At 40.4% G+C, this 25701-nt stretch overlaps 1 long non-coding RNA gene across 6 annotated transcripts in view, besides 2 other annotated features; it reads right to left on the bottom strand.

Moving 5' to 3' along the window:
- Positions 1-4156: 4156 nt before the first annotated feature.
- Positions 4157-25701, bottom strand: part of LINC02464 (long intergenic non-protein coding RNA 2464) — a 97632-nt gene continuing 76087 nt past the window's right edge. For 4 of the 6 annotated variants that reach the window (NR_187539.1, NR_187542.1, NR_187545.1 and 1 more), the window contains 3 exons: positions 13470-13636; positions 13090-13385; positions 4157-4366 (listed from right to left, as the gene is read on the bottom strand). This is a non-coding gene — a long non-coding RNA (long intergenic non-protein coding RNA 2464). Of the gene's footprint in view, positions 4367-10084; positions 10325-13089; positions 13386-13469; positions 13637-14127; positions 14229-25701 lie in introns of all 6 variants that reach the window. The other 2 variants (NR_187543.1, NR_187544.1) reach the window with 2 other exon arrangements.
- Positions 22559-23060: an enhancer, noted in NCBI's record as "H3K27ac-H3K4me1 hESC enhancer chr12:77631785-77632286 (GRCh37/hg19 assembly coordinates)". NCBI's record gives its function as "activates a minimal SCP1, AML or CMV promoter by ChIP-STARR-seq in primed H9 embryonic stem cells {active_cell/tissue: H9 hESC(primed)}" and the evidence as "EXISTENCE:reporter gene assay evidence [ECO:0000049][PMID:30033119]".
- Positions 24263-24764: an enhancer, noted in NCBI's record as "H3K27ac hESC enhancer chr12:77633489-77633990 (GRCh37/hg19 assembly coordinates)". NCBI's record gives its function as "activates a minimal SCP1, AML or CMV promoter by ChIP-STARR-seq in primed H9 embryonic stem cells {active_cell/tissue: H9 hESC(primed)}" and the evidence as "EXISTENCE:reporter gene assay evidence [ECO:0000049][PMID:30033119]".

A 25701-nucleotide genomic window follows, 5' to 3' on the forward strand; every position in this document is an offset into this window, starting at 1 on the left:
GTTGTGGGAGGGACCTGGTGGGAGATAATTTGAATCATGGGGGTGGTTTTCCCCATACTGTTCTCATGGTAGTGAATAAGTCTCATGAGATCTGATGGTTTTATCAGGGGTTTCTGCTTTTGCTTATTCCTCATTTTCTCTTGCCACTGCCATGTAAGAAGTGCTTTTTGCCTCCCACTATGATTCTGAGGCCTCCCCAGCCACGTGGGACTGTAAGTCCAATTAAACCTCTTTGTCTTCCCAGTCTCAGGTATGTCTTTATCAGCAATGTGAAAATGGACTAATACAGTAAATTGGTACCAGAAGAGTGGGGTGTTGCTGAAAATATACCTGAAAATGTGGAAGCACATTTGGAACTGGGTAACAGGCAGAGGTTGGAACAGTTGGAGGGCTCAGAAGAAGACAGGAAAATGTGGGAAAGTTTGGAACTTCCTAGAGACTTGTTGAATGGCTTTGACCAAAAGCCTGATAGTGATATGGACAATAAGGTCCAGGCTGAGGTGGTCTCAGATGGAGATGAGGAACTTGTTGGAAACTGGAGCAAAGGTGACTCTTGTTATGTTTTAGCAATGAGACTGGTGGCATTTTGCCCCTGACCTTGAGATTTCTGGAACTTTGAACTTGAGAGAGATGATTTAGGGTATCTGGCAGCAGAAATTTCTAAGCAGCAAAGCATTCAAGAGGTGACTTGGGTGCTATTAAAGGCATTCAGTTTTATAAGGGAAGTGGAGCATAAAAGCTCAGAAAATTTGCAGCCTGACAATGTGATAGAAAAGAAAAACCAATTTTCTAAGGAGAAATCCAAGTCAGCTGCAGAAATTTGCATAAGTAAACAGGAGCCAAATGTTAATCCCCAAGACAATGGGGAAAATGTCTCAAGGGCATGTCAGAGACCATTGTGGCAGCCCCTCTCATCTCAGGCCCCGAGGCCTAGGAGAAAATGGTTTCGTGGGCTGGGTCCAGGGTTCCCATGCTGTGTGCAGCCTAGAGACTTGGTGCCCTGTGTCCCAGCCACTCCAGCTGTGGCTGAAAGGGGCCAATGTAGAGCTCAGGCCATGGCTTCAGAGGGTGCAAACCTCAAGCTTTGGCAGCTTCCACACAGTGATGAGCCTGTGAGTGCACAAAAGTCAAGAATTGGGGTTTGGGAAGCTCCGCTTAGATTTCAGAAGATGTATGGAAATGCCTGGATGCCCAGGCAGAAGTTTGCTGCAGGGGCAGGGTGCTCATAGAGAGCCTCTGCTAGGGCAGTGCACAGGGAAATGTGGGCTCAGAGCCCCCACACAGAGTCCCTACTGGGACACCACCTAGTGAAGCTGTGAGAAGAGGGCTACTGTCGTCCAGACCCCAGAATGGTAGATCCACCAAAAGATTGCACTGTTCACCTGGAAAAGCCACAGATGCTCAATGTCAGCTCATGAAAGCAGCTGGGAGGGAGGCTGTATGCTGCAACACCACAGGGTCAGAGCTGCCTAAGACCATGGGAACCCATCTCTTGCATCAGCATGACCTGGATGTGAGACCTGGAGTCAAAGGAGATCATTTTGGAGCTTTAAAACTTGACTGCCCTGCTGGATTTCAGACTTGCATGGGCCCTGTAAACCTGTTGTTTTGGCCAATTTCTCCCATTTGGAATGGCTGTATTTACCCAATACCTATACCCCCATTGTATCTACAAAGAAACTAGCTTGTTTTTGATTTTATAGGCTCATAGGTGGAAGGGACTTGCCTTGTCTCAGATGATACTTTGGACTATGGACTGTTGGGTTAATGCTGAAATGAGTTAAGACTTTGGGGGACTGTTGGGAAGGTGTGATTGGTTTTGAAATGTGAGAACATGAGATTTGGAGGGGCCAGGGGCAGCATGATATGGTCTGGCTGTGTCCCGACCCAAATCTCATCTTAAAATGTGTTCCCATAATTCCCACGTTTGTGGGAGGGACCTTGTGGAAGATAATTGAATCATGGGGGTGGTTTCCCCCATATTGTTCTCATGGTAGTGAATAAATCTTATGAGTTCTGACAGTTTTATCAGGGGTTTCTGCTTTTGCTTCTTCCTCATTTTCTCTTGCCGCCTCCATGTAAGAAGTGCCTTTCACCTCCTACCATGATTCTGAGGCCTCCCCAGCCATGTGGAACTGTAAGTCCAATTAAACCTCTTTTTCTTCCCAGTCTCGGGTATGTCTTTATCAGCAGTGTGAAAATGGACTAATACATATGTCTATCCTAGAGCTTTTTCAGAAAAGTTTTGGACACCTGTCAATGAAAGAATGGGAAAGAATTTCATTATAACATGATGTCACCTATATATGTTATATATACCATTATAACATGATATCACCTATAATATGTTCTTGTGACATGGGCTATGTATAAAGACATCAAATTTCCAATATAATTGAGACAGTTAAATATGTGCAGATGATATATGACACACAGAATGAATTAAATCAACGTGTGATTTTAAACTAATTTAAGTAAGTAAAGTGAACAGCTAGATGTAATGAAAGATACATCTTTTTTCCTCTACAACAAACAAAACCCAGAAAGGTATTCACTCTGCCCTCGGGTTCTGAATTTATTTGGGGGAGATTAAAAACTATACAAACAAATTGTACATTAAAAAGGGAAGCCCAGTTTGTGTTAAGCATTGAGTAATCAGATTAGACAAGAAGTGTAGTGTTCACAGTGTCATGGTAGGGTGAGAAGGTAAGGGAAGATGCTGATCTTATAGGGTGTAGGATGTAGAATAAGCTGGGTAGTGATGAAAGTTGAGGATTTGAGGGGATCAGAGAGGGCTTCTTGGAAGGGGCCCTTGGCTAAGCAGTGAAGGACAAGAGACTGGGATAAGGGAGCAGGCAAAGCAAGCAGACACGTGCAGCAGCAGGAAAGAGTGCAAATAGCGTGTGGGGTAAACCACAGGCAGGGACTGTAGCTGGAGGGGGAAGGTCACGCATGGAGGGAGAGAGAAGAGGTGGAGTAGCTTGTCAGAATTTGTATCCCTGAGGGCCTTGTGGGCCATGTTTTACCATGTAGACCACAAGACCTTTTCTCAAATGAAAAGCTTATGTGAAAGCTTAACATTCATGACCGATAAGGGCAAAGCTGCTCTAGTTAGGGCCAGAGTGGGGGTTAGAGTCTCGCCTCCTCCTCACCACCCCTGTCTGTTGCCGTCCCTGCAGCTACCCTGGTAGCTCAGACTGGCATTTCCTGTCACCTGGATTATAGCGACAGCTTCCTACTTCCAGTCTTGTCCCATTTCATCTACCCTCCACACTGTACTAGAGAGCTTTCTAAAAGGTAGTTCTGATTTTGTTGTTCCTCTATTTTAATCCCTGCAGTGGCTCCACACTGCCTTTGAGGACAAACCTAAAATTCCTAGACCCTACCTACTGCTTTTCTTTCCATTCTTGCATCACTTGCATCACACTTGCACACAGCTTTATGTTCCACCCATCCTGAAGGGCTTGAAATTTGTCTTGCTGAGCCCTTGGTTTTGTTGCTGTCACTGCCTGCCAAGGCCTCCATGCCAACCTCCGTTTAAGCCTCTGCTCAGTCACCTTCTCCAGAAGATCTTTCCTGACTTCCTTTGCCCCCCAAGTGGATCTGACCATATTTTTCTTTGTTTCAACTGTATCCATGAGTACAGATCTTTTTTTTTTCTTCACATTTTGGCTAGTTTTGTTTTTTGTTTTTGTTTTTCTCTTTCAGCTTTTATTTTAGAATCAGAGAGTACACACACAGGTTTGTTACAAAGGTATGTTGTGTGATACTGAGGTTTGGAGTATGATTGAACCTGCCATCCAGGTAGTGAGCATAGTACCCAGTAGGCAGGTTTTCACCCCTATTATTGTAACTCTGTGTGGGGACAGATATGAGATATGTTAAGAAAGTCAAACTGACAGGATTCTGTCAGGGAATGGATATGGGTGAGGGAAGGATTTGGAGGTGTCTGGAAAAACTCCCAGGCTTCTATCTGGATTGACATGCTGCACTGTCAGAGAGAACACAGGAGCAGAAGAGTTCGGAGAGGGAGAGACAATGATTTTTGCTTTGGTAAGGTTAAGTTTGGTTTGTCTGTGGGGATCCAGGTTGAGTTGAGCAATAGATTGTCAGATATATCAGCTTGGAGCATAGAAAAAATATCTGAAGGTACACATTTGGCAATCAACAGGCAGGTGGTAGGTAAATTTATTGGTGTAAATAAGATGATTCCAGGTGAGACTTATGTGAGAAGCTAAGAGAGATGTGGATGAAGTGGTTAAAGAAGGTGGAGTGGAAGCAGATGTCAGAAATCATCCTGGTTTCATTTTCTCCATCATTTTGGTCTTTGGGGCCACAGAGATAACAGAGCAACTTCACAAAAGGCCTGCAAACAGAAAAGTTATATGTATTATTCAGGCCTGGGCTACTCCAAGGCTCAATGAGGTGGCCAATCTTATCAAAGGCCAGATGATTTATCCTGACTACCACAATGGGGAAATCTCTCTAATTTCGTTATATAGTATTGCATATAATACCAGTACAATTATCATTCAATATTTAGAAAATATAAAATATAGTAATATTAAAATAGGGCTTTGAGCTTTGGGAAATTTCTGATTATTACAAGTTGATTACTTAAGTAATTTAGACACTATTGAAGTAGTGTCTCAATTCTCTGAATGTAGGAATTCTGTAAATGTTGTTCCTAGGCATAGAAGTACATTTCCACTAGAAATTATTTGTTTTTCCAAATTAACATATAAACAAATAGATAATACATTTTACAGCAAGAGAAAAGTAAGTATGGACACATTATCCCAAAGATTCTCTGTATTCTTTACCAAGAAGAAAAAAAAGTCTTCTTAGTCACAGGAAAAGAGAATAATAAATGTCTAATCATAATGTGTGGACTAAGTGACTTCATCTTGTGATAGATGAAGGTGATAGATAATTCCCTTGATGTCAAATGTGTGTTAAGTTAAATCATTCAAGCTATCTATGATGGCTGCTATGTTATTCAGTGTGAGCATTTCCTAGAGCTAACACTTTTTATTTATTCAAACACTGAAGAAGAACTTTTTTAAAACTAGAATAAGGGGGCTTTTTAGTTTTCTGGAGTGCTATATTTCATTAAATAATAACCTGTAGAAATGGTACCAGTTTCTACATGTGGGTTTTGAAGGCTGGTCTCAGTTGTCCAGGGCACTGGACTCATTTTCTTTTTTTGGGGGAGTGCTCATTTTCTACAAGGTGTCAATGAATAGGCAGGATGGAAAAACAGAGAGGCTGCCTCTCAGCCAGAGCAGTTAAATCAACCTTGGCCCACTGGGTAACTTGTCTCAGCCAGGCTACTCTTATTTCTATGTGGTCAATGAGAGGAATATCTCATGAGAAATGAAGAAGAAGAAAAAAGAATGATGTAATTTCCCTTATACCCTTCCTGGCAGGATTTCTATGAATATTCATTACTGCACGTGGGACATATATATTTTATCAGATCTGGGCTTAAACATAGAGGTACCTTTGTGCAGAAAGAATAATTCAACATGGACTCTGCATTTTTCTTAAGGAGGTATGAAATATTCAGAGCTTGTATAAATTAGGGACATAGGCGTATGCTAACTTGTTTCCAAATGTTTATTTTCTGCTATCTACCCATAATTGTCTAATTTGGGCAGTAACTATTTTTGTCTTAAAGTGAAAATATGCCTTCAAGTCAAGCAAAAATTATGTGCAATACGTTTCAATTATTTTATAATAGGAAATATGTATTTTCATTAGGTAGTATACTTATTTTTCAGAACTTTCTTGTTTTTTAAACTAGAATTTGATAAAGATGAAATGTTTATGCTATCATTTTCATTGTACCATCTGTTTAATTGTTTATTTTTACAAAAACAAAGATTTCCCATGTCATGTTTTTAGATATCTTGGGGGAAGAAATTTCAAAAAGCATTTTAAAGCACTGGTAAATATGTAACAAGTTATATTTTACATATTTTAAAAATATCTGGCTGGGTGTGGTGGTGTGTGCCTGTAGTCCCAGCTACTCAGGAGGCTGAGGCGGAGGAAGGCTTAAACCCAGTGGTTCAAGTCCAACCTGAGCGACGTAGCAAGACCTGGTCTTTATGAAAAACGTTTTTTAGAAATATATTTCAAAATAAATTAAATCAGAGAAATTTAAATGATATTTCAAGGTCAAAAATAGAGTTAGGAAGAAAATTGGGGAATACTTTCTGGTTCTCTTTAGCTCTAACCTCTCTCCAGCTCTAGCCCTGTATACAAACTCCATTTAGATGTCTTTAAGCTCCAAGTAGAACCCATCTTTATTTCTACCAGACCTGTTTCTTCATTATCTTCTCCATTTAGGACAGTTGTATCATCAGTCATGCAATTGATTAACCCCCAAACTTGGGTTCATTTTTTATTCTACTTCTTTCATCCATCCATCCTGTGGCAAGTCCTGTTGGTTTGACCTCCAAATTACTTTTCACTATTCTGCTGCACCCAAACTCGTCTGAGGCACCAGTACCTCTCACTCTGATCACTGCAATAACCTCCACAATGGCCCATTGGTATTACTTTCTCCCTTCTACCATTGATTTTTTCTTATTGAAACAAACAAACTCAGAACAAAACACTGCTCCATTTAAAAACCTCTGTAGTTAGAAGAAAACTCAACACTCTTAACCCAGCCTGTGTGGTCTGTCATTTGCTTTTCCCCTCTGGCCCTGTCTCCTCCTGTTCTCCCAATAGCCTAAGTGCTTTCTGACTTGTTCATCAGTCTATCCACAGCAGAGTGCCAAGCTCACGAGTAGGCACTCAATACATCTGTCAAATTTATGAGCAAATATTATACATATATTTTTCTGAGCCTAAAAAGAAGTTCTCTTTTGCCTCAGTGATAATCAGAACTCAAACTAAATCTTTAGGTGGATGTTCCTGTGAAATTGTGGGGTCAATAATCAATAAATGAAAGTTTAGTGCAGTCAGGGCCTGTTGTGTCACCTGTACTCTGGTCTTTCCTATAGGCTTAGTTAGCTACAGCCAATGCTGAGTTAAGATAAGAGTGATTCAAGGGCCTGAATTTTATCAGCAGGTGACTCAACTTGATGTTGCCTTAATACCAGCGCAACCCTGATCTTGTACCCTTACACTTGAATTTCTGTCTCATTTCTGAACCCAAGTTCATCTCTTGTGCCTTGGTTTGGTCACTGAGTTTCTGCCTGTTTCCTTCTGCCTCAACAACTGCTCAGCAATTCCTTCCTTCCCAGTCCAGGACTCTCCTATATTCTCGTGTCTGTGTCACTCGACCTCTATACCCAATGTCTTACTATAAGGAACATTGCCATAGATCTCCTCTAAAACTGATCCTAGTTGGGGCCCGATAGTACCACAGCTATCCATATGATGATGAATGAACAGCCACAATATTGAAACTAAGCCTTTAGAAAACACCCAGAGCTATTTATGCATAATTGTGTGAAATCTCTCAAAAGTAATTAAAAAACAATTACAACAAAATCCCCATGGTGTTCAGTATTTGCATAGTCCTCAAATATTTCTAGCTTCTTTAAAGCAAGGAAAAACAGAAGTAAGGACGTAATGTAGAGCAGCTTCTCATGTCCTGAAACATCAGTTCTAGTTATGGACCAAGTGGGCAATGCTTAAGGTAATGCCCTTATAAATTACTTTTCAAATATTGGAACTCACCATTGATTCTATCAGAGAACCTGGATCCCACCATGACAAATAGCAAATCTCTTTTTTTCTAGAAGGATATTTATATGTTTAGAGGCATTCTACTATTGGAGATATAATTTATGCCTTTTAAAGAATTTAAAATTATAAGGATAAAAATTGTAAGGTTATAATTATAAGGATATCAATTATAAGAATATAATTTATACCATTGCAGTTATCTTGTTGGGAGTTTCTGCTAAACTATAATGCACAAACAAACCAAAATAATAACTCTATTACTGTTTTTTAAAATTGAAATAATACTTTGGAGTATACATTTAAATGTTATGATAACTTGGAAAACACAAAAACAGTAAGTTTCAGTACTATTATTGGGGATATATTTTATTGTTAAGGTGGAAATAGGAGAAAACAAATGAAAATAAATTTTATGAAAAATGTTCATTTAATCTAGTAAACTTCACATTCCACAATTGATAATGTACCATCAGCTGAGAACCACTAGTCTAAGAATTATTAAGTTACTGTTGTGGGTTAACTTGTGTTTCCCTAAAAGATGTCAAAGTCCTGACCCCCAGTACCTGTGAATGTGACCTATTTGGAAATAGGGTCTTTGTAGATGATCAAATTAAAGTGAGGTCATTGGGGTGGGCTCTAATCCAATATGACTGGTGTTCTTACAAAAAGGGGAAATTTGGACACAGAGACAGGTACATTCAGAGGGAGAATGCCATCTGAAGTTTGGGATGATGCAACTGCAAGCCAACAAACATTAAAGGTGGCCACAAACTACCAGAAGCTAGGAGAGAGACAGGGAACAGATTCTCCCTCACAGTCCTCAGAAGGAATCAATCCTGCCAACACCTTGATCTTGGATTTCTATCCTCCAGAGCTGTGAGTCAATGAATTTCTGTTGCTTGAAACACCCAGTGTGTAGTGCTTTGTTATGGCAGCCCTAGCAAACCAATGCAGCGAGTCGGCTAGTTCTATGCATTATTGCGCGTGCACTCTCTCTCATTTAAATACTATTGAGCAACAGTAGAATGATTTCTTCCCCAAATTTCTACCTGACAGCTGTGCTATCTTCTATTTACTCCTCCTGGTCCTCTCCTTTCCTGCCGCTCTATGCTCTAGGAGGCGTCTCTATGAACAACATCAATGGACTCCCTTGCCCTCTGGATTTCACTAGGGTTCATCCAGTGGGAGGCAGCAGCAAGTGATGCAGAGACAGACAGAAAAGTGAGGTTGAGGTATTCTTTGCCCTGGTTCCTCCTTTTTCTCTGGCTGAAGGTCACAGTTCCTGTCAGGTCTCACAGGTGTCCTCTCCATACAACATGACTCTCTGTGGCCACTCCCTCCATTGCCCCTACAGGCCCAGCATGCTGCCCTAATCCCTGTGGTTCCCCCAACCCTGCCGCCACACATTAAACCTTCCTCAAATCATCTCACCTTCAGTGAGCCTTCTGTTTCCTGCTGGGAAGCTTGGGCTATCAAACTCAGTATGTAAAAACATGTGAAAATGCTGATGATTGGTTTAAGGTAAGAGGTATGGTCTGGGGCCCAGTTTCCTAAACTTTTAAAACAAATGCCTTCGAGACTTTATAGTGGTTCTAGTTTTCTGGATCCTTGAAGCCTAGAAGCATAAATTTAAATGCCCCCAAGGACCAGTCAGGTAGCAAAAACAAGTGGAGTGGGGGCATTGGGGCAGGACTTTGGGGACTTGTGGAAGAAGCCGCAGTTGAAAGGGCTGCAGCTACCCAGCTTAAGCTGACTTTTTGCCACTTGGAAATGTGAACCCAGTGTGCTAAGACTGATTTTTTAAAAAAATAGAAGCCAGAAATCATCACTATTTTTATGTGGATGCCATGGTTATTTAATACTATCAACCAGTCAAACACTATGAAAACACAGTAGGCTAAGAAAAATAGTGCTGCAATCTAGATTTGGGTCACAGGCCACAAATCTGTGACCTCTGCTCAGCTCAGTCATTGCATCCTCTTGGATGGCCAGGAACCACCTGGACCACATGACCCTAGACCCTCTGGAGGAATTACAATATAACAATATGCCTAGGTTGTATTAAATTAAAAGTTGATGCAGAAGAAAACATCCCTACCATTTGTGTAATGCACTTTTGAAGACTTTTTTTTTTTTACTAGATTGTCATTCTTTCCTTAAAGATATACAAAATAATTTTTTCTCTAGAATTTAGCTCCAGAAAAAAAGTCTATACTTTTCCTTAACCAGAAAAACACACACCTTGTTTTTCTGGTTAAGGAAACAAGTAATAGAGTGGCTCCTATGTCAGGCATCACACTTGGTATTTTACTTAGAGCAAGCTAAGCTCTAAACTCTGAAATCCCATTGACTAAACACCCAAAGTTAATCTTTCACTTACACAAAGTCCTCTATGGGTCAGGTAACTCTCCACAGCCGCTATTTCCTTTGTGATCCAAGCTGCCTGGATGGGGTGGCGCCACTGAATCAATATGTCTGCCTCACAGAGGTGGTGCGGGGCTTGTGTGGCCTCAGTCTGGAAGGAACACTGTGTTGCTTCTCCTCACAATTCATTGGCCCAAACTAGTTTCGTGCCCCTGTAGAATTGTCAGGGGGCTGAGAAATGTAGTTTTTCCATGCACTCGGGAAGGAGGGGAGATCACAAGTGGTGAGCGCTAGCCATGTCCTCTATAGAGTCATCTTCAATCCATTATCTGAATGCTATGAAAGCTATTATAGTTCTCTTTTTTTGCCTTTGATGACAGAAGCTCAGAGCTACTAATTGTAGTATAGAGTTTTCCTAAATATGCTTCAGACATTTTTCCTTCTTCCTTCCCATATTAGGTATTCTTTCTTATTTTAATGTCCTTATTGTTTATATACTTTTTTTCTTTAGGTAAACTGCTTCTGAGTCATTGTGGAAGAATAGTAAAGGAATTAATTAATGGAAATAAATAGGAAAAAGTGAAATATACAGATGTTTGCTTCATAGCTATCACTGATGCTTAACCAGGGTTCTTGAGTCTAACAAGAGGCATGGATACTAACAATGGTGATGGTAGCAACAAAACTAGTCCTCTACTCGGCAGGGCCTTTTCTCTCCTGTTCGATCAGTGTTCTCCAGAAAACAAAAACAAAAACAAAAACAAAAACCAGAATCAATGGGATGTGTATATATAAAAATAGAGATTTATTTTGCAAAAGTGGCTCATTCAACTATGGAGGTTGACAAGTCCAAAATCTGTAGTTCCAGTCTGCTAGCAGTCAGGAAGGGCCTGGGGACAGGCCTAGGGAAGAGCTGATTTTGCAGTTCAAGACAGAAGGCAGTCTGCTGGCAAAATTTCCTCTTGCTTCAGGGAGGTGGGGTAAACAACTAATACAGCAGGACAGCTGGCAAACAAACAGACATCTGTGAGCTGTCCAAGAGTATGTTATTGCTATTATTCTATTCAGGCCTTCAACTGATTAGGTGAGGCCCAACCACATGATGCAGAGAACTCTGTTTTACTCAGAGTCTACTGATCCAAATGTTAATATCATCCGAAACACCACAGAAACATTCAGAATAATGTTTGACCAAATTTCTAAGCATCATGGCCCCAACAAGTTGACATAAAATTAACCTTCACACCTACCATGCCCTTCCCTGAGATGGCCCTTGTGAGCTCACTGTAATCCTACCGTCTTGCCTCCTTGTGGGTCCCAGTATGCATTGACAGCCGTTGCTATACTCCTGCCTGGTTCTGACCTCACACTGCTACCTACTGTCTTCACCCAAGTCTCCCTTTTCATTGTAATTCTTTTCCCAGGTTCTCAAGAATGGTGGCCCTGTTCTGACAGTTTTCTTACAGTCCTTTGCCAGAAGAATTTAAGATAAGCACCTCCAGAGGCTTTTTGATACCCAGTGATAAGCATCTTGGAGGATATTTCAGTAGCTTTATTTATTTATTTTGAAACGGAGTCTTGCTCTGTCACTCAGACTGGAATGCAGTGGCACGATCTCAGCTCACTACAACCTCCGCCTCCTGGGTTCAAGTCATTCTTGTGTCTCAGCCTCCTGAGTCGGTAGCCTTATTTATTATGGTAAGGAGTTCTCTTTCAGTCGCTACCACTTCTCAGAATCCCAAGCCTGTTGCGGCTCAGGGTGTCTTATTTGACTACAGAGTGTTCTGGGGGCTTTGATTTCCTCTCATTTTGAGACCTTGTCAGTCCTAACGAATTCTCTCTCACAGTGGACCATTAAGTTGGCATACAGCCTGGGTAACATGGCAAAATCCCATCTCTACCAAAAAAAAATAGATACATGAAATTAGCCAGGCATGGTGGGGTATGTGTGGTCCTACTTACTTGGGAGACTGAGGCAAGAGATGCACCTGAGCCCCGGAAATCAAGTCTGCAGTGAGTCATGATCCTGCCTCTGCATGCCAGCCTGGGTGACAGAGGAGACCGTGCCTCAAAAAAAAAAAAAAAAAAAAAAAAAGGTGGCATAGATATGGAGCTAGAGGCAGGGTAGCTGCAACCAAGTGGTGAATGTTTCTGGCAGAAGAACGTTAAAGGTTTTTATAAACGTTTTGTTCTAATGATCGAATGCATATTATGTGGCAGGTTCATGTGCTATTTAATTTCTCACAACAACCTATGAGATTTACAGTATAGCCCACTTTACAGATGAAAAACTGAGTCTCAGAGAGGTGGATTCACTTACAGATAAACAGCTAAGACAATAGCACAACTGGGAAGGGAACAGTCATCTGAGAGACATTTAAGAGTGCTCTGTTGGCCGGGCACGGTGGCTCATACCTGTAATCCCAGCACTTTGGGAGGCCGAGGCAGGTGGATCACCTGAGATCAGGAGTTCGAGACCAGCCTGGCCAACTTGGCGAAACCCTGTCTTCACTACAAATACAAAAATTAGCCAGGCATGGTGTCTGGCACCTGTAATTCCAGCTACTCAGGAGGCTGAGGCAGAAGAATCACTTGAACCCAGGAGGTGGAAGTTGCAGTAAGCCCAGATCGTGCCACTGCACTCCAGCCTGGGTGACAGAGTGGACTCCATCTCACAAAAAAAAAAAAAAAAAAAAAAAAAAAGGAGTGCTCTATTGCCACTCTACTTCCCTGTCTCCCAGACCGAGGAGTCCATGTACAAGATGAACCTTCCTCTGAAACTCCAGCTAAATGGCAATTGTTCAGAAATGGATTTATTCCATATGCAATAATTAATAATATTCCACGATGGTCCATTTATTGGTAAGTTGTCAATGACTCAAATTCCTCAAGATCTCCACCTTAAGGGGATTAAAGAAAAACCAGCTCTAAGGAAGGCATATTATTTATAAAAAGCTGAGGTAGGAAGCAAATGAACTTATCTCCAGAGATAATCTCTTTAAGCATGAAGGAAGCACCTACCTTGACTTCTTAGTTCCTTCTCTAGAGCTACTTTCCTGACTGAGATAGGAATGTAGGATAAAGTGAGGTGTCCTCTTCCTGATGCTGCAGCTAAGATTTTCATCTTGCTAGGGTATACAAAGCACTCTCAGGCTCAGCAGGAAAATATTGAAGTTAAGTTTTCTCTCCCCTCATGAGCTTTATCAGATTTTCATGCTACAGAGAATAGTGAACATGCTGGAGTGGCAGCGATAAATGAAAAGTCCCCATGGGTGAAGGGAAGACATGATCACCACCAGCACTCTACTTTTTCATTTCTGCTGAACAAAAAAGAAATGGTTTAGCAATCTGTGGGTAACTATTGTGTCATAAGGAAAACATGCGATTGGATTTGCACTTACTTCAAGGATAAATGAATCTCTTCTTAACACTCATTGACTTCATTCTTCAACTTCATCATTTTCAGTTTTCAACCTTCTTTCTCTTGAGGAAAAGAAGAGGAACAGCAAGAAATAACATTTGGGTGCTCTTCTACATAAAATAATTTGATGAGACCTTTTGATAACACCTAGGAATGGACAGACATCAAGATAGTTTTAGACATCTCCCTATTATTTGCAGGTACCAAGAAGCTAATGAACAGTGCAAGAGCAAAATTAATACAAACTCAAAAAAAATTATAGATTTCAAATGAAGTGTTTATTTTTAAAGAATAGGATCTATGCCTTGAGAATGATATAAAATTGGGCCACTAAAATCTTTTTTATTTCCTTATCGGATAGCATTTTAAAACCAAATTTACATGGACACATAGTTGAATTGGTCAATTAATCCTGTAAGATGTATGAAGACCCCAGTTTCCTTCCTCAATTTAGGGGATGCTGGTTATGTTAATAGATTTTAACAAATGACAAAAGAAGCGGAGCTAATTAACTCCTGTTTTGTTTTCGTCTTCTCTAACAAAAACGATACTCTTAAAACAGGAAAGCATTTATCAAGCAACATACAGGATAAACTATAGTTTAACATGGGTTAAGGTGTAAAGAGAAAACAACCTACTTTGGATGAACTCAAATGTTCATGCCTTAACAACTTATTTCTAAGGATGCTGAAGTAACTTTTTAGGTTCATTTTAGAACTCTGAAATTCCAAGCCATCACCTGGAGAATGAGAAAGTGTGTAAGAAAGGTAAATGTCCTATTTAAAAAAAAAAAAAAAAAACAACAAAAAAACAGGAAATGGCTGCTTAAATTCCAAAGTGACTTTGCAAAAGATAATTCACAGCATTTAGAAGCAAATGAAGTGGTCACTAAAAGGCACTCTGATTTTCCACTCTGGGTTCCCAGGATATCTAGTGTGTCAGTGAGTACAGAGGGTGGCATTGCTGCCTTTCCCTTTCCTCGTCTCAGTAAGTTTGGGAGCATATGCTACAACAATGTTATAGCTAGCTTTCAAAAACCATTTGAAAAAACATTAGAATATCTTTGTGAATAATACGGAGAAAGTTAGGCTGAATGACAGTATGGCACGGTGATGTTGTGGTTGTTTGAGCAGTGCTATCTCCTCCTTCTCCTCCCCACGTCAAAAGGTTACTATAGAGAAATGTCAAGCATCAGCATAACTGAGTGAATTAAAGCTGTTGAAATTTCAGGCATCAGCGAGGCAATGGGGAGATGGTTTCTGCAAAGGTCTTTTTGGCATCCCCTCAAATAATATCAAGTTGGCAACTTCTTGGTTATAGTTCCTGACGATAATATCCCTTGAGTAAATATTTTTAAAGCCCAAAATGAGCTTTGCAAAGAATGAGAAAAGCAAAACAAAGGACTGTTTCATATTTAAGATTTAAATCTCTGTTCTTGGACCTGTGCCTAGTTCTATCAAAACAGTGATATCCATCCAACAAATCCCATACAAACTTTCTGCAGTGAACATCTACAGAAATGCTGATTTTCTAAATGAACTATTGAAAAACTACTTTATTTTCTTTATATTTTAAAAAGCTCTTTAAAAAGCTAAATGTATCGAGACCATCCCGGCTAAAACGGTGAAACCCCGTCTCTACTGAAAATACAAAAAATTAGCCGGGCGTAGTGGCGGGCGCCTGTAGTCCCAGCTACTTGGGAGGCTGAGGCAGGAGAATGGCGTGAACCCGGGAGGCGGAGCTTGCAGTGAGCCGAGATCCCGCCACTGCACTCCAGCCTGGGCGACAGAGCGAGACTCCGTCTCAAAAAAAAAAAGCTAAATGTGCCTAATAAGTGTCACTTCAGAAAACTTATTTTCACCATGAAGTAAATAGGAAGATGGTTTTATTATTTTTACAAATGACAAATAAAGCCCTTATACATGAGTTGGACAAGATAACTGACTGAAAAAACTGGTGTCAGACCAACATTTCTCATCTCCTTTCCTTGTGTAACTTGCATTAACTTTTTTTGAAATGAAGATTTTTATTAAATAAAATTTGTATCTGTATTTGTATTTGTATCTGAATTATTTTTATTTTTATTTTGAGATGGAGTCTTGCTGTATCACCCAGGCTGCAGTTCATTGGGGCGATCCTGGCTCACCGCAACCTCTGCCTCCCCGGTTCAAGCGATTCTCCTACCTCAGCCTTCCGAGTAGCTGGTATTACAGGCACATACCACCACACCCGGTTAATTTTCTGTATTTTAGTAGAGATGGGGTTTCACCATGTTGCTCAGGGTGGTCTCAAACTCCTGAACTCAGGCACTCTGCCCACCTCAGCCTCCCAAAGTGCTAGGATTATAGGTGTGAGCCGCTGTGCCTGGCTGTATCTGAAAATTTGATACTGAGGTAGAAAAAGCTTCTTCACTGTGATATTTCACAGTGACTGGCAAGATGGAAGTCTTGCATCTATGCTCTGACAGTTTGAAAGGAGGAAAAATGCAGCTTGGTTCACTGTTTAGGGTGCTACTTTGTTCAGTTGTACAGATTTAATAAATCCTGCCATGTTGTGGTTCAGCTTTATTTGGTTTTGTGCTCACCCAAACTCTTGAGAATAAACTAAATCACTTTCTCTCTCTAGTACTGTGTTAGCTCTGTGCCTTGAATGGAAATGAAATGCAAATGCTTTCATTGCACTATTCCCTTGTTAATTTATCACGTTTAAACACAGCAACATATTGGAAAACCTTGTTATTTCGTAATCTTCAGATTCTTTGCACAATGATATTAAGAACAGAATAATGAGTAGAGATAAGCCAAAGGGAAGCACATTTCTACAGGGCGACTGGCAGCGGTCCCACAGCCATTAGTGTGTGGTATCTGGTGAAATTGCTGGAGTTGGCTTGCCCTCCGACTTCATGACAGAGCAAAAAAGAAGGAAGAAAAAAAAATCCCCAGAATTAGAGGAAGTGAGTGAAGCACCACTTTAGAGTCTTAATTATGCTCTAAAATCGTTTATTCTCTCCTTCAAAAATGTATGTTTTGGTAATGCTCATGCTGTGTGGATTTGTAGTTAAAAGTTAATAACAAATACTAATAAAAAGCAATACGGAGTTTCAACTTCCAGGAAAGGATGAAGTGAAAGAAGTGTTTAGCAGGGTATAGCATAAACTCTTACACCAGAGGTACCCAATAAACATTTGTGGACTTGACTGATGCTTCATGAGTGGATTTAGAAGCTGTTCTGTTGTAGTCTTGACATAGCAGGAGTAGAAGTGCTAACCACAGCCAGATGTTGGGGATCATCCAAGAGGCTAAGTTTGTGGGTGGGAATAGGCACTCAGAGATGATTATACACACATGAAGGGAGAGATAAAAGGTGTTGGAGCTTCTTCCTAGTTGGCTCTTCTTTCTTAGCACATCTTTTTATCCAAGTTGGAGCTCTGACTCATCAGATTTGGTTTCAAATCCCGCCTTAGAATAAACAAACATCACTCAACATGCATTTAGACAACATTTTACAAATGGTTGCAACCTAAACCTACTTTCCTTCACATATGCCATTGTTCTGGACCTCATTCTCAAATCTCAACAATCGTGTTTCAAAAATAGCTGGTATGGTTTTCTGTAGAAGTTTTTGACCTCAGGAGAACATTGGTGAGCTTGATTGCACATGAAGTCATAGAGACATTTTACATGGCATTTGCTGACCATATATATCATCCAATTTGTTTTATAAATTTTGACCCTCTGTGATGCCTGTCTCCAATTCTTAATATGTATTAATAGTTTAAAATTTGGATCAACAAATAAAGCCTAAACAACCCCTGAGGCAGTTTTTGAAAGTATTTTGTCCACCAAAATTCTATTTTAAAATGTTCATGTCTGTTTATATATTCTCCAGTATCATATTATCCTATTAACCCGTTGTCTTACCTAATTTTCTACCTCCTTTTCTCCCTTCCTTTTTCCTTCCTTCCTTCCCCCTCCCTCCCTCCTTCCCTCCCTCCCTCTTTCCTTCCTTCATTCCTTCCTTTTTCCTTTCCTTCCTTCCTTCTTTCATTCCTTCCTTTCCTTCTTTCTTTCCTTCCCTCCCTCTCTGATATTTGATAATGTACCTTACTTGACCTTTCCTTTCCTTTTGTTTCCTTTCTTTCCTTCCCTCCCTCTCTGATATTTGATAATGAACCTTACTTGACCTTTCCTTTCCTTTTGTTTCCTTTCTTTCCTTCCCTCCCTCCCTCCCTGATATTTGATAATGTACCTTACTTGACCCACCTTTCCTTCCTTCCTTCTTTCCTTCATTCCCTCCCTCCCTTCCTTCCCTCCTTCCCTTCCTCCCTCCATCCCTGATATCTGATCATGTACCTTACTTGACTCAGCCTTAGAAAGCCCCCTTCCTTCCTTCCTTCTATCCATCCATCCATCCATCCATTCATCCACCCATGGGGGGTGGTGGAGCTATTTACTAAGATTGGCAAGACTGAGAGAAAGAGGGGTAATCAAGAGTTCAAGTGCAGACATAAACATTTTATATTTGAAATGTTAGCAAATGTCCAAGTGAGGATGTCAGGGTACAGGGTATATGAGATAGGAGCCCAGAGGAGGGGGTTAAGCTATAGTTAGACATTTGAAAATCAACAGTGAATTAATATGCTTATAGCCACAAGATTCAATAAAATCGCTTAAAGAGTGAGTGCAAGTAAAGAAAAGAAACGGCCAAAGACAAAACTCAGGGCATTCTAACATTTCAAGTTCAGGTAGAGAAAGAGGTAAAATAATATTTGAATGTTAATGCAATTTTATTTTAAAGAGTCACTCATCCCTGTTGACCTGCTATTTATTTAGAGTTCACATAATGCATAGTTATCTCTTTGGAGAACTTTAAAAAAATTGCTGTTTTTAGTCTAGAATGTCTGATGGAAGTTGTTTGGCCCAGGACTGTGAAGGTGATCATATTAGTATTAGGAGTATTAGTTGCGAGGCCAATTCTTAGATAATGGGGCTTTCCAAGGCTGAGTCAAATAAGGTACGTTATCAAATATCAGAACTACAAAGGTGTCAGTACCTGTCACGGGGAAAATGTAAAATGCAATTGGGGAATAAGATAGGAGTGTCTAGAACTGGGGATCTCAGAAAAGTGAAGGTAAAATTGGGAGGAAGCAAGATAAACAAAGGTAAAACTAGTAGGTCAGAATAAGGCTGTTTGAGATGAGGCTGGAGTTTGAAGTCAGTTCAAGAACCAATCTCCTAAACACTTTCTGCCATATTCCTTTTAAGCTGTGCCTGAAACAGCCAAACCACATCAGACAAAAGCTACCCTCCCTCCCGCCACTTTTTTTTTTGGCATTTCTAATTTTGAAATGCACAGTCAGTTTCTCCCAAATGTTCTCCTCATTTTCAATTCTAATGATTAGAATCATGCCCAATGCTTCCTTCTAAGAGTATCACTCAGATTTAATCAACATGACTGAGTGTTAGCTATCCACCAGGCTCCAGGCTGGTCAACTGCTCAAACACTGGCTTATTTTTAGGGATTAAATTGTCATCTCAGAAAAGGCAGAAGTTCATTTTAATAGCTTACACTGCCATAGTTTAGAAACCATGTGTAAATTTCCTAAATCCTCTTGTGTGCCATATTCACTTAATAGTTTGTCTCATCTGGAATATTTGAAAATTTAGTCCTGTATGATTTAAATATGGTGTCAGGGGAAGTCTTCACAGTTAATTTTCTTCTCCCATGCAGAGAAGGACACATCTGACATAATATAACAAGTCACATTGCCAGAGTAAGAATAAATAGCAAGCTATAAACCAACAAATAAGAAACCGAGTCATAAAATGAAAGTGCTTTAAAAATGTGGCCAAATACTGTTATTGTGGAGAAGCCTGAATCTGGCATTAAATTACGCCAAGTGGACCTTTGGCTATGTTATCCAGGTCATTGTCTTTTCTGAGACCAGATTTTTTTTTTTCCTGGGTTTTCTGGGTTCTTAAGACCCTCAAGTGAATTAATGGGATTAGAGAATCATTTTCAAAATTTTAAGAACTTAAAGAACATTTTACACTTACTCATCCGGGACAAAGCTACACCAGCTCAGTAAAACTTTGTATCTTTGCCCTTACCTTCATTTTCCAACTGTACCATCATATCATTTCTGACAACCTTGTCAGACCCAGAAACTTCAATGTGTTCCTCTAGTCTCAGTTCTTCATCCCCTTTCCAATGGGATGCTGGTTACTTTATCATGAACAGATTCTATTAATATATCTTCAAACCAACACACATGAATAAATTGGTTACCCACTAAATGGTATACACTCCCTGTCATGTTTTCCACTTGGAGTTGATCTGTTCCTCTGGAGAGGCAGGATGGGCAGGAGAGCAGCCAAGCTTTCCCATCCCCAGATGTTAGGAGACTGAGCCTCTACTGTGTCCCATTCCAGGGTTCTCCCGATCCCTTCCTGTCAGGGACGCTGCTGTGTACATCAGATGGATCAGTGTCATAGGAAAGAGCATGATTTGTTACTTGACTAGGACCAGTAGCAGAAAAAGAAACTCTTGAGGTGCACAAGCTTAACTCTTTTACTTAACGTCATCTTCTTCCCCTTCAGGACAGTGCTCTTTGTCTCTGGTAGAAACTTCTCTCAGGAGACCCCCAAACCAGTAATTAAAAATATTAGATATCTATTAGAATCACCTGAAGAGTTTATAAAACTCAGTTTTTTAATGTTTTTTTTGTCTGTTTTATTTTTATTTTTATTTTTTTGAGACAGAGTCTCTCTCTGTCACCCAGGCTGGAGTGCAGTGGCACGATCTCGGCTCATTGCAACCTCCGTCTCCTGGGTTCAAGTGATTCTCCTGCCTCAGCCTCCGGAGTAGCTGGGATTACAGGTGTATGCCACCATGCTTGGCTAATTTTTATATTTTCAGTAGAGACATGGTTTCACCATGTTGGCCAGACTGGTCTTGAACTCTGGCCTCAAGTGATCCACCCACCTCAGCCTCCCAAAGTGCTGGGATTACAGGCATGAGCCAGCATGCCCTGCCAAAACTCAGCATTTTTTTTTAAAGCTCCCAGGTAATTCCAATGTCCCTCTAAAGATATCCACCCCTGCAATATGCCTTCTCCCAGGTTCCAGCTAACAAGATCAAAAGAACTCTGCCTCTTATTATCATCTCATTGTTAATTTGCATTTTTTCCTAGCATAATGTCATTATGATCAGGTGGAGGCAGCCAGGAGTAGAATAGGTACAACTGAGTTTGACTAAGACTTTTGCCTCTACTTGGTAAAACTCTGTGTTCTTGGCTGCTCCCACTCTTGAGGTTAAAAGAATGCAAGCCACTTCACATTTCTGCCAGTTTGCTTTTGTTTTATTCTTCTCTCTCCACATGGTTTGGCTCTCTCTCTCTCTCTAGAAGTAGTTCTGGCTGATCTACAAAATTTCTCCAGAATTTGATATTTAATAGTTTGATGTCCTTCCCATCTTTTAAATACTTGATTTCCCCTCTCTGGTCAATATTTGCCTGTCAATAGTAGATCATATCTTATAAAACTGGGTCTTATGGTGAAAGAGAATAAAAGAGACTTTGGTGAAAGAGTGGGTGATTTAGAAAGTGTCTGTGCTTGGGTCAATGGTAGAGATTTTAATCACCACGTGGTGAAAGTTGAAGGTATCTTGGGCTCACTGTTCAGGGTAGCAGAGACGGCTCCCTGGCCTGCAATGTCTGTTCAGGGTACATAGCAATGCCTAACTGGGGTCTTTACCAGAATCAACCTGCAAACCACAGACCAGGCTCCATCCCTGAAAGGAACTGGCTTGCTCTGACATTAGTGGTTTTGAATTAGGTCAAATATTGCTGGCTTCACAAGGTCTCCAACTACAGCTGGGACCTCCACTAGTATATGTACTGAAGTCACATCAGCATTCTTTTTGAAACATCAGGGTTAGCTCATCCTTTATGGGCCAGGCATATTCATTTCTATGGGTATCTCTTGCTTGACATCATGAGTTGTGCCTCCCATCTAAAAGAAGACCCCAAATTCACTGGTCCCTGAACCAAATTTCATTCCATGATCAACCAGCTTCTCTATATTCTCACTTTGTTTACAGAATGCTCTTGTTATTTCTTTACCAGAACTAAAATATGACTTCCTCATGAATGTATGTCATTTCCACTGGATCTCCTCAAATTCAGGGACCATAAAGTCAAAAGATGGTGTCAACCTTCTGCCTTCTCTACAAAATGTAATTTCATTATTCTTCCATCTTCATGAGAAAACATTCTGCCATTCTGAAGATTCTGCCATCTAGGATGATGTCCTTTCTCTCTCATCCCCAGCATCTACTTCCCTTGGTTAGTTCCTTATGTGAATTATAAATGTGGGCAACTGTTTCACCATCATCATGTCCAACACAAATTCTAACATTATTCTTGCTATATTAGCTATATTTTGTTTGTGAGTAGAGAAGGGTGGAAATTTGTATATTATACTTCATCTGTGCATAAAGTAGGATGCTGTTTAGAAGATAATTCATCTCATCTTGCACTTTAGTCTCCATTTTCCTCATAGTGGGAAAGATAATGATAACACCAAAAAAAAAAAAAAAAAAAAAAAGAAAAAAAAAACAAAACTAAAAAACCCAAAGCTTAAGCTTATCCTTTTGAAGTATGCAGTCTTTTTGAACTTTAAAACATATCTTTGAGGTTGTTTCAGGTTCGTCATTTGGATAAATGATCATTTAAGTCAATGTTGCATTCTTTATCAGGGTAATTTCTCCCCTTTCTTAAAAGGAGTTCTCTTTTATCCTCTTTCTCAAGAGAAAGTACAAGAGATGCTAATAGACCTCTTAGCACTGAGGCAGAGGTTCCTGGTCTGAATCTACCTGGACCATTGCTGGTTTTGAATGCAGTGGGCTAAGCTGATCTTACCCTAGGCATTGGCGTTGGCTGGGGTGTAGCTAATCCTGCTTGATGCTTTGGGGAGTGTGTCCTGGTATTCATATAAGTTAGAGGCACCCACCACAAATTCCTTGCATGCTGTGGCCTTCTCATCCCTACCTAAAACCCACTTCTGGTTCAGTGGTTCTCTTAGCACCTCTATGTACTCATTGGGGGTTCAGAGACAGGGAACCCTCAGCCAATTACTTTACACCATGCTGGAGTATGCGGTGCTCTGTGTTACTCTGTGCCATAATGGAGTATGTGGTGCTCTGTGTGAACTACCCTTGACTTGAACAGCTAGTTACCTTCCTCAGACCCTTCTAATCCCTTGTCCACAAGATCTCCACTCACACCTCCAACCAGAAAGTAAAACACAAGCCTTTTCTGTTTATAACTTTCCCTTCAAATCCCCTAAGATTTCTGTGCAGCTTTCTGCCTTCTGCATCTTCCTTTCTTCTCATCTGTATTTCTCAAAACAGAGGCTGCTGCTCCCAACATGGTACTGAAACTGCTCCTCATAAGGCCACAGGAATTCTTCTAACTGCTCAGGCTTTTCTGTATTTTCTTACTGTGCCTCTCTGCTTCATTCAACATCCTGGTCCCTTTATTTTTTAAATGCTGCTCTTTCCTCGTTCCACTCAGAACCTTTTGCCTGTTTCCTATATTGTTTTCCTTTCAGTGCTGGTGTTTATGGAAACTCCGTCCTTGAATTGTTTCTATTCTTATTACAGCCAAATCCAGGAAGAGAGGATATTCTCCCTGAGTGACTGCTTTTATTGTCATGTTAAAACACTTTCTTTATATGGCTGCTGCAAAAAAATATGTGTATCTCCAGCTCAAAACTTTTCTCCAAGCTTTAGACTCAATATTGAACTACCTCCTGGATAGCTCCAGGTCTCCCAGACTCAACATATACAAACTGAACTCATCATTCTTTCCTGCTTTTAAAGATATACTATATTTTAAATCTCAATCCAGCCACCAAAGCTAGAGAACCTCATCTTTGGTTCCTTTAACTTTTTAAAATCACATATTTATTAAATCCCAACAAACTTCTTCTTCTTCTTTCATATCTGTCAATGACCTGTCAGTCATCTACCTATCTATCATGTAGCTATCATCTCTCTCTCTCTCCTATCTATCTATCTATCTATCATCTCTCATCTATCCATCTGTCTTCCACCATTATTTGTCTACAAAGAAAATTTCCTAAAAGTTTACATATAGTAAGATGGTTAAATGTTAACACAAATAAAAATTTCAGAATAGGGTAAATATACATTTTCTAGAAGGGGAAAAAGAAATATGTAAATAATTAAGACCCAAATTGTTAGTTGTTGTTGCCATAATTAAACCTTAAATTTGGCACCAAACTTTTGAGCAGCTAAAGTAAAAGTAAGACTAGGTCAGTTACCTAACTCTTCTTATTAGAGAAAACAAGGGAATCTTCGTAACCTAAGTTGAAAACTCTGATTAGCTGAAGCTTTATGCTGAGAAAGGTTTTCTTATCTTTTCCTTTTACTTAAAGGTCACCTGAAATTAGCCCTTTAGCCAATTCCCTGTGGAAAATGTCCTTTGAGTATTTAATGCTGTCAAACCTCTCTCTGAAAGAAAGATCTTTTTCCATTTTTCCCAGCCTGACTGTCTGAAGCTGAGGACCTGTATTCTCTGTAGTAGTTCCTAGTCCTCCTGTTTGACTTACAGTTGTTGTTTCTCTTTCTTAAAGTTCAGGTTTCTTTGCAACTCGCATTTTCAAACCATCAAACTAGTTTCAAGCAGATTTACATGTTTAGAGATTTTTAGTTTGGGTCTAAGTTGTGTTCTCTTTTGAATTCAGATATGTCTAGACAAGCCCATGGGCCCAGTGGGGCTGACTCACTTGCCAGGGCCATATTTCATCAAATGATAGGGGAGTCTTTGAAAATTGTACCTGCATTAATGCCATTAATGGGTAGTGAGAGTGCCTCTTACAGTTATGATTCATGAATGAAGCAATATCTTTACAATGGATGCTTGTTAGCCTACATCTACATTGAGAAGAAGAATATAGTAGTATCTTCCGGCACTAGAGCAGGGAGGCCACACACAATGTTTCTAGTATTTGTGCCATCCCTTCACTGGGAATAGAGGTGGCAGTGGTGTGTTGTGACGGAGGCTTCCAAGTACACAGTGCAGTGGTGAAGAGCTCAGGCTGGACTGGAATTCTGGATCTGCTTTCTCATGTAGTGGCCATGGGGCAACTTCCTTTGCCTCTCTGAACCTCAGTTGCTCTGAGGATTAAAAATAAGGCATGTGTCACGCCTGTCATCCCAGCACTTTGGGAGGCCGAGGCAGGCGGATCACCAGGTCAGGAGATTGAGACTATGCTGGCTAACACGGTGAAACCCCGTCTCTACTAAAAATACAAAAAAACAAAATTAGCCAGGTGTGGTGGTGGGCGCCTGTAGTCCCAGCTACTCAGGAGGCTGAGGCGGGAGAATGGCTTGAACCCGGGAGGTGGAGCTTGCAGTGAGCCGAGATCGCGCCACAGCACTCCAGCCTGGGGGACAGAGCGAGACTCTGTCTCAAAAAAAAAAAAAAAAAAAAAAAGGCACGTGAAGTAGTTGGCACACAGTAAGTGCTCAATATCAGATATTCCCATAGAAATGTGGGTGAAGGGAGGGGGAAAATGACATGCCATCACAGGTGAAGGATAGTTTTGGACAGCTCAGGTGAGATACCCTGTAGGGGCTTCATAAGCCAATTGAGGAAAGGTTTGAGGAGGGCTGGAATTCTTCGACTATATAATATATGGAAGCTCAATAGACCTGTGTGGTCTCATTTCCTGTTTGCAGAAATTGGGTCCTGACCCAGGGATATGGTAGTTTATAAGAATTAGGATGAGAAAGTCCTTGCTTGAGCTTCTTTCCACCTCTGGATTTATTAAAGTCATATAATCTAGAGTCCTTTATATAAGGTTTAGAACTGTTTCTAAGCTTGGGCTTTATCCTATAAATATTATACAGCTATATTTGACCTTTCTGTAATATTTTACAGAGTCGACAGCTCCCTTTTTCTTGAAGTTGTCTTTTCCCTGGACTGCTATAAAACCAACTTCTCCTGGTTTTCCTCCAGCCATTCAGATATTTCCTTCTTGGTTTTCTTCTTGGAAACTAAGATTTTTTTCCCTTGGCATTTCTCCATTTTTAAACCTCTTAAGTAACCATGTTTCCCAAGATCGTATTCGATCTTTAGAGATCTAATCGTCTCTAGCATACCGCAAACCCATAGCATAACCCAC

The sequence above is a fragment of the Homo sapiens genome, chromosome 12 (assembly GCF_000001405.40).
Source record: "Homo sapiens chromosome 12, GRCh38.p14 Primary Assembly".
Taxonomy (NCBI): domain Eukaryota; kingdom Metazoa; phylum Chordata; class Mammalia; order Primates; family Hominidae; genus Homo; species Homo sapiens.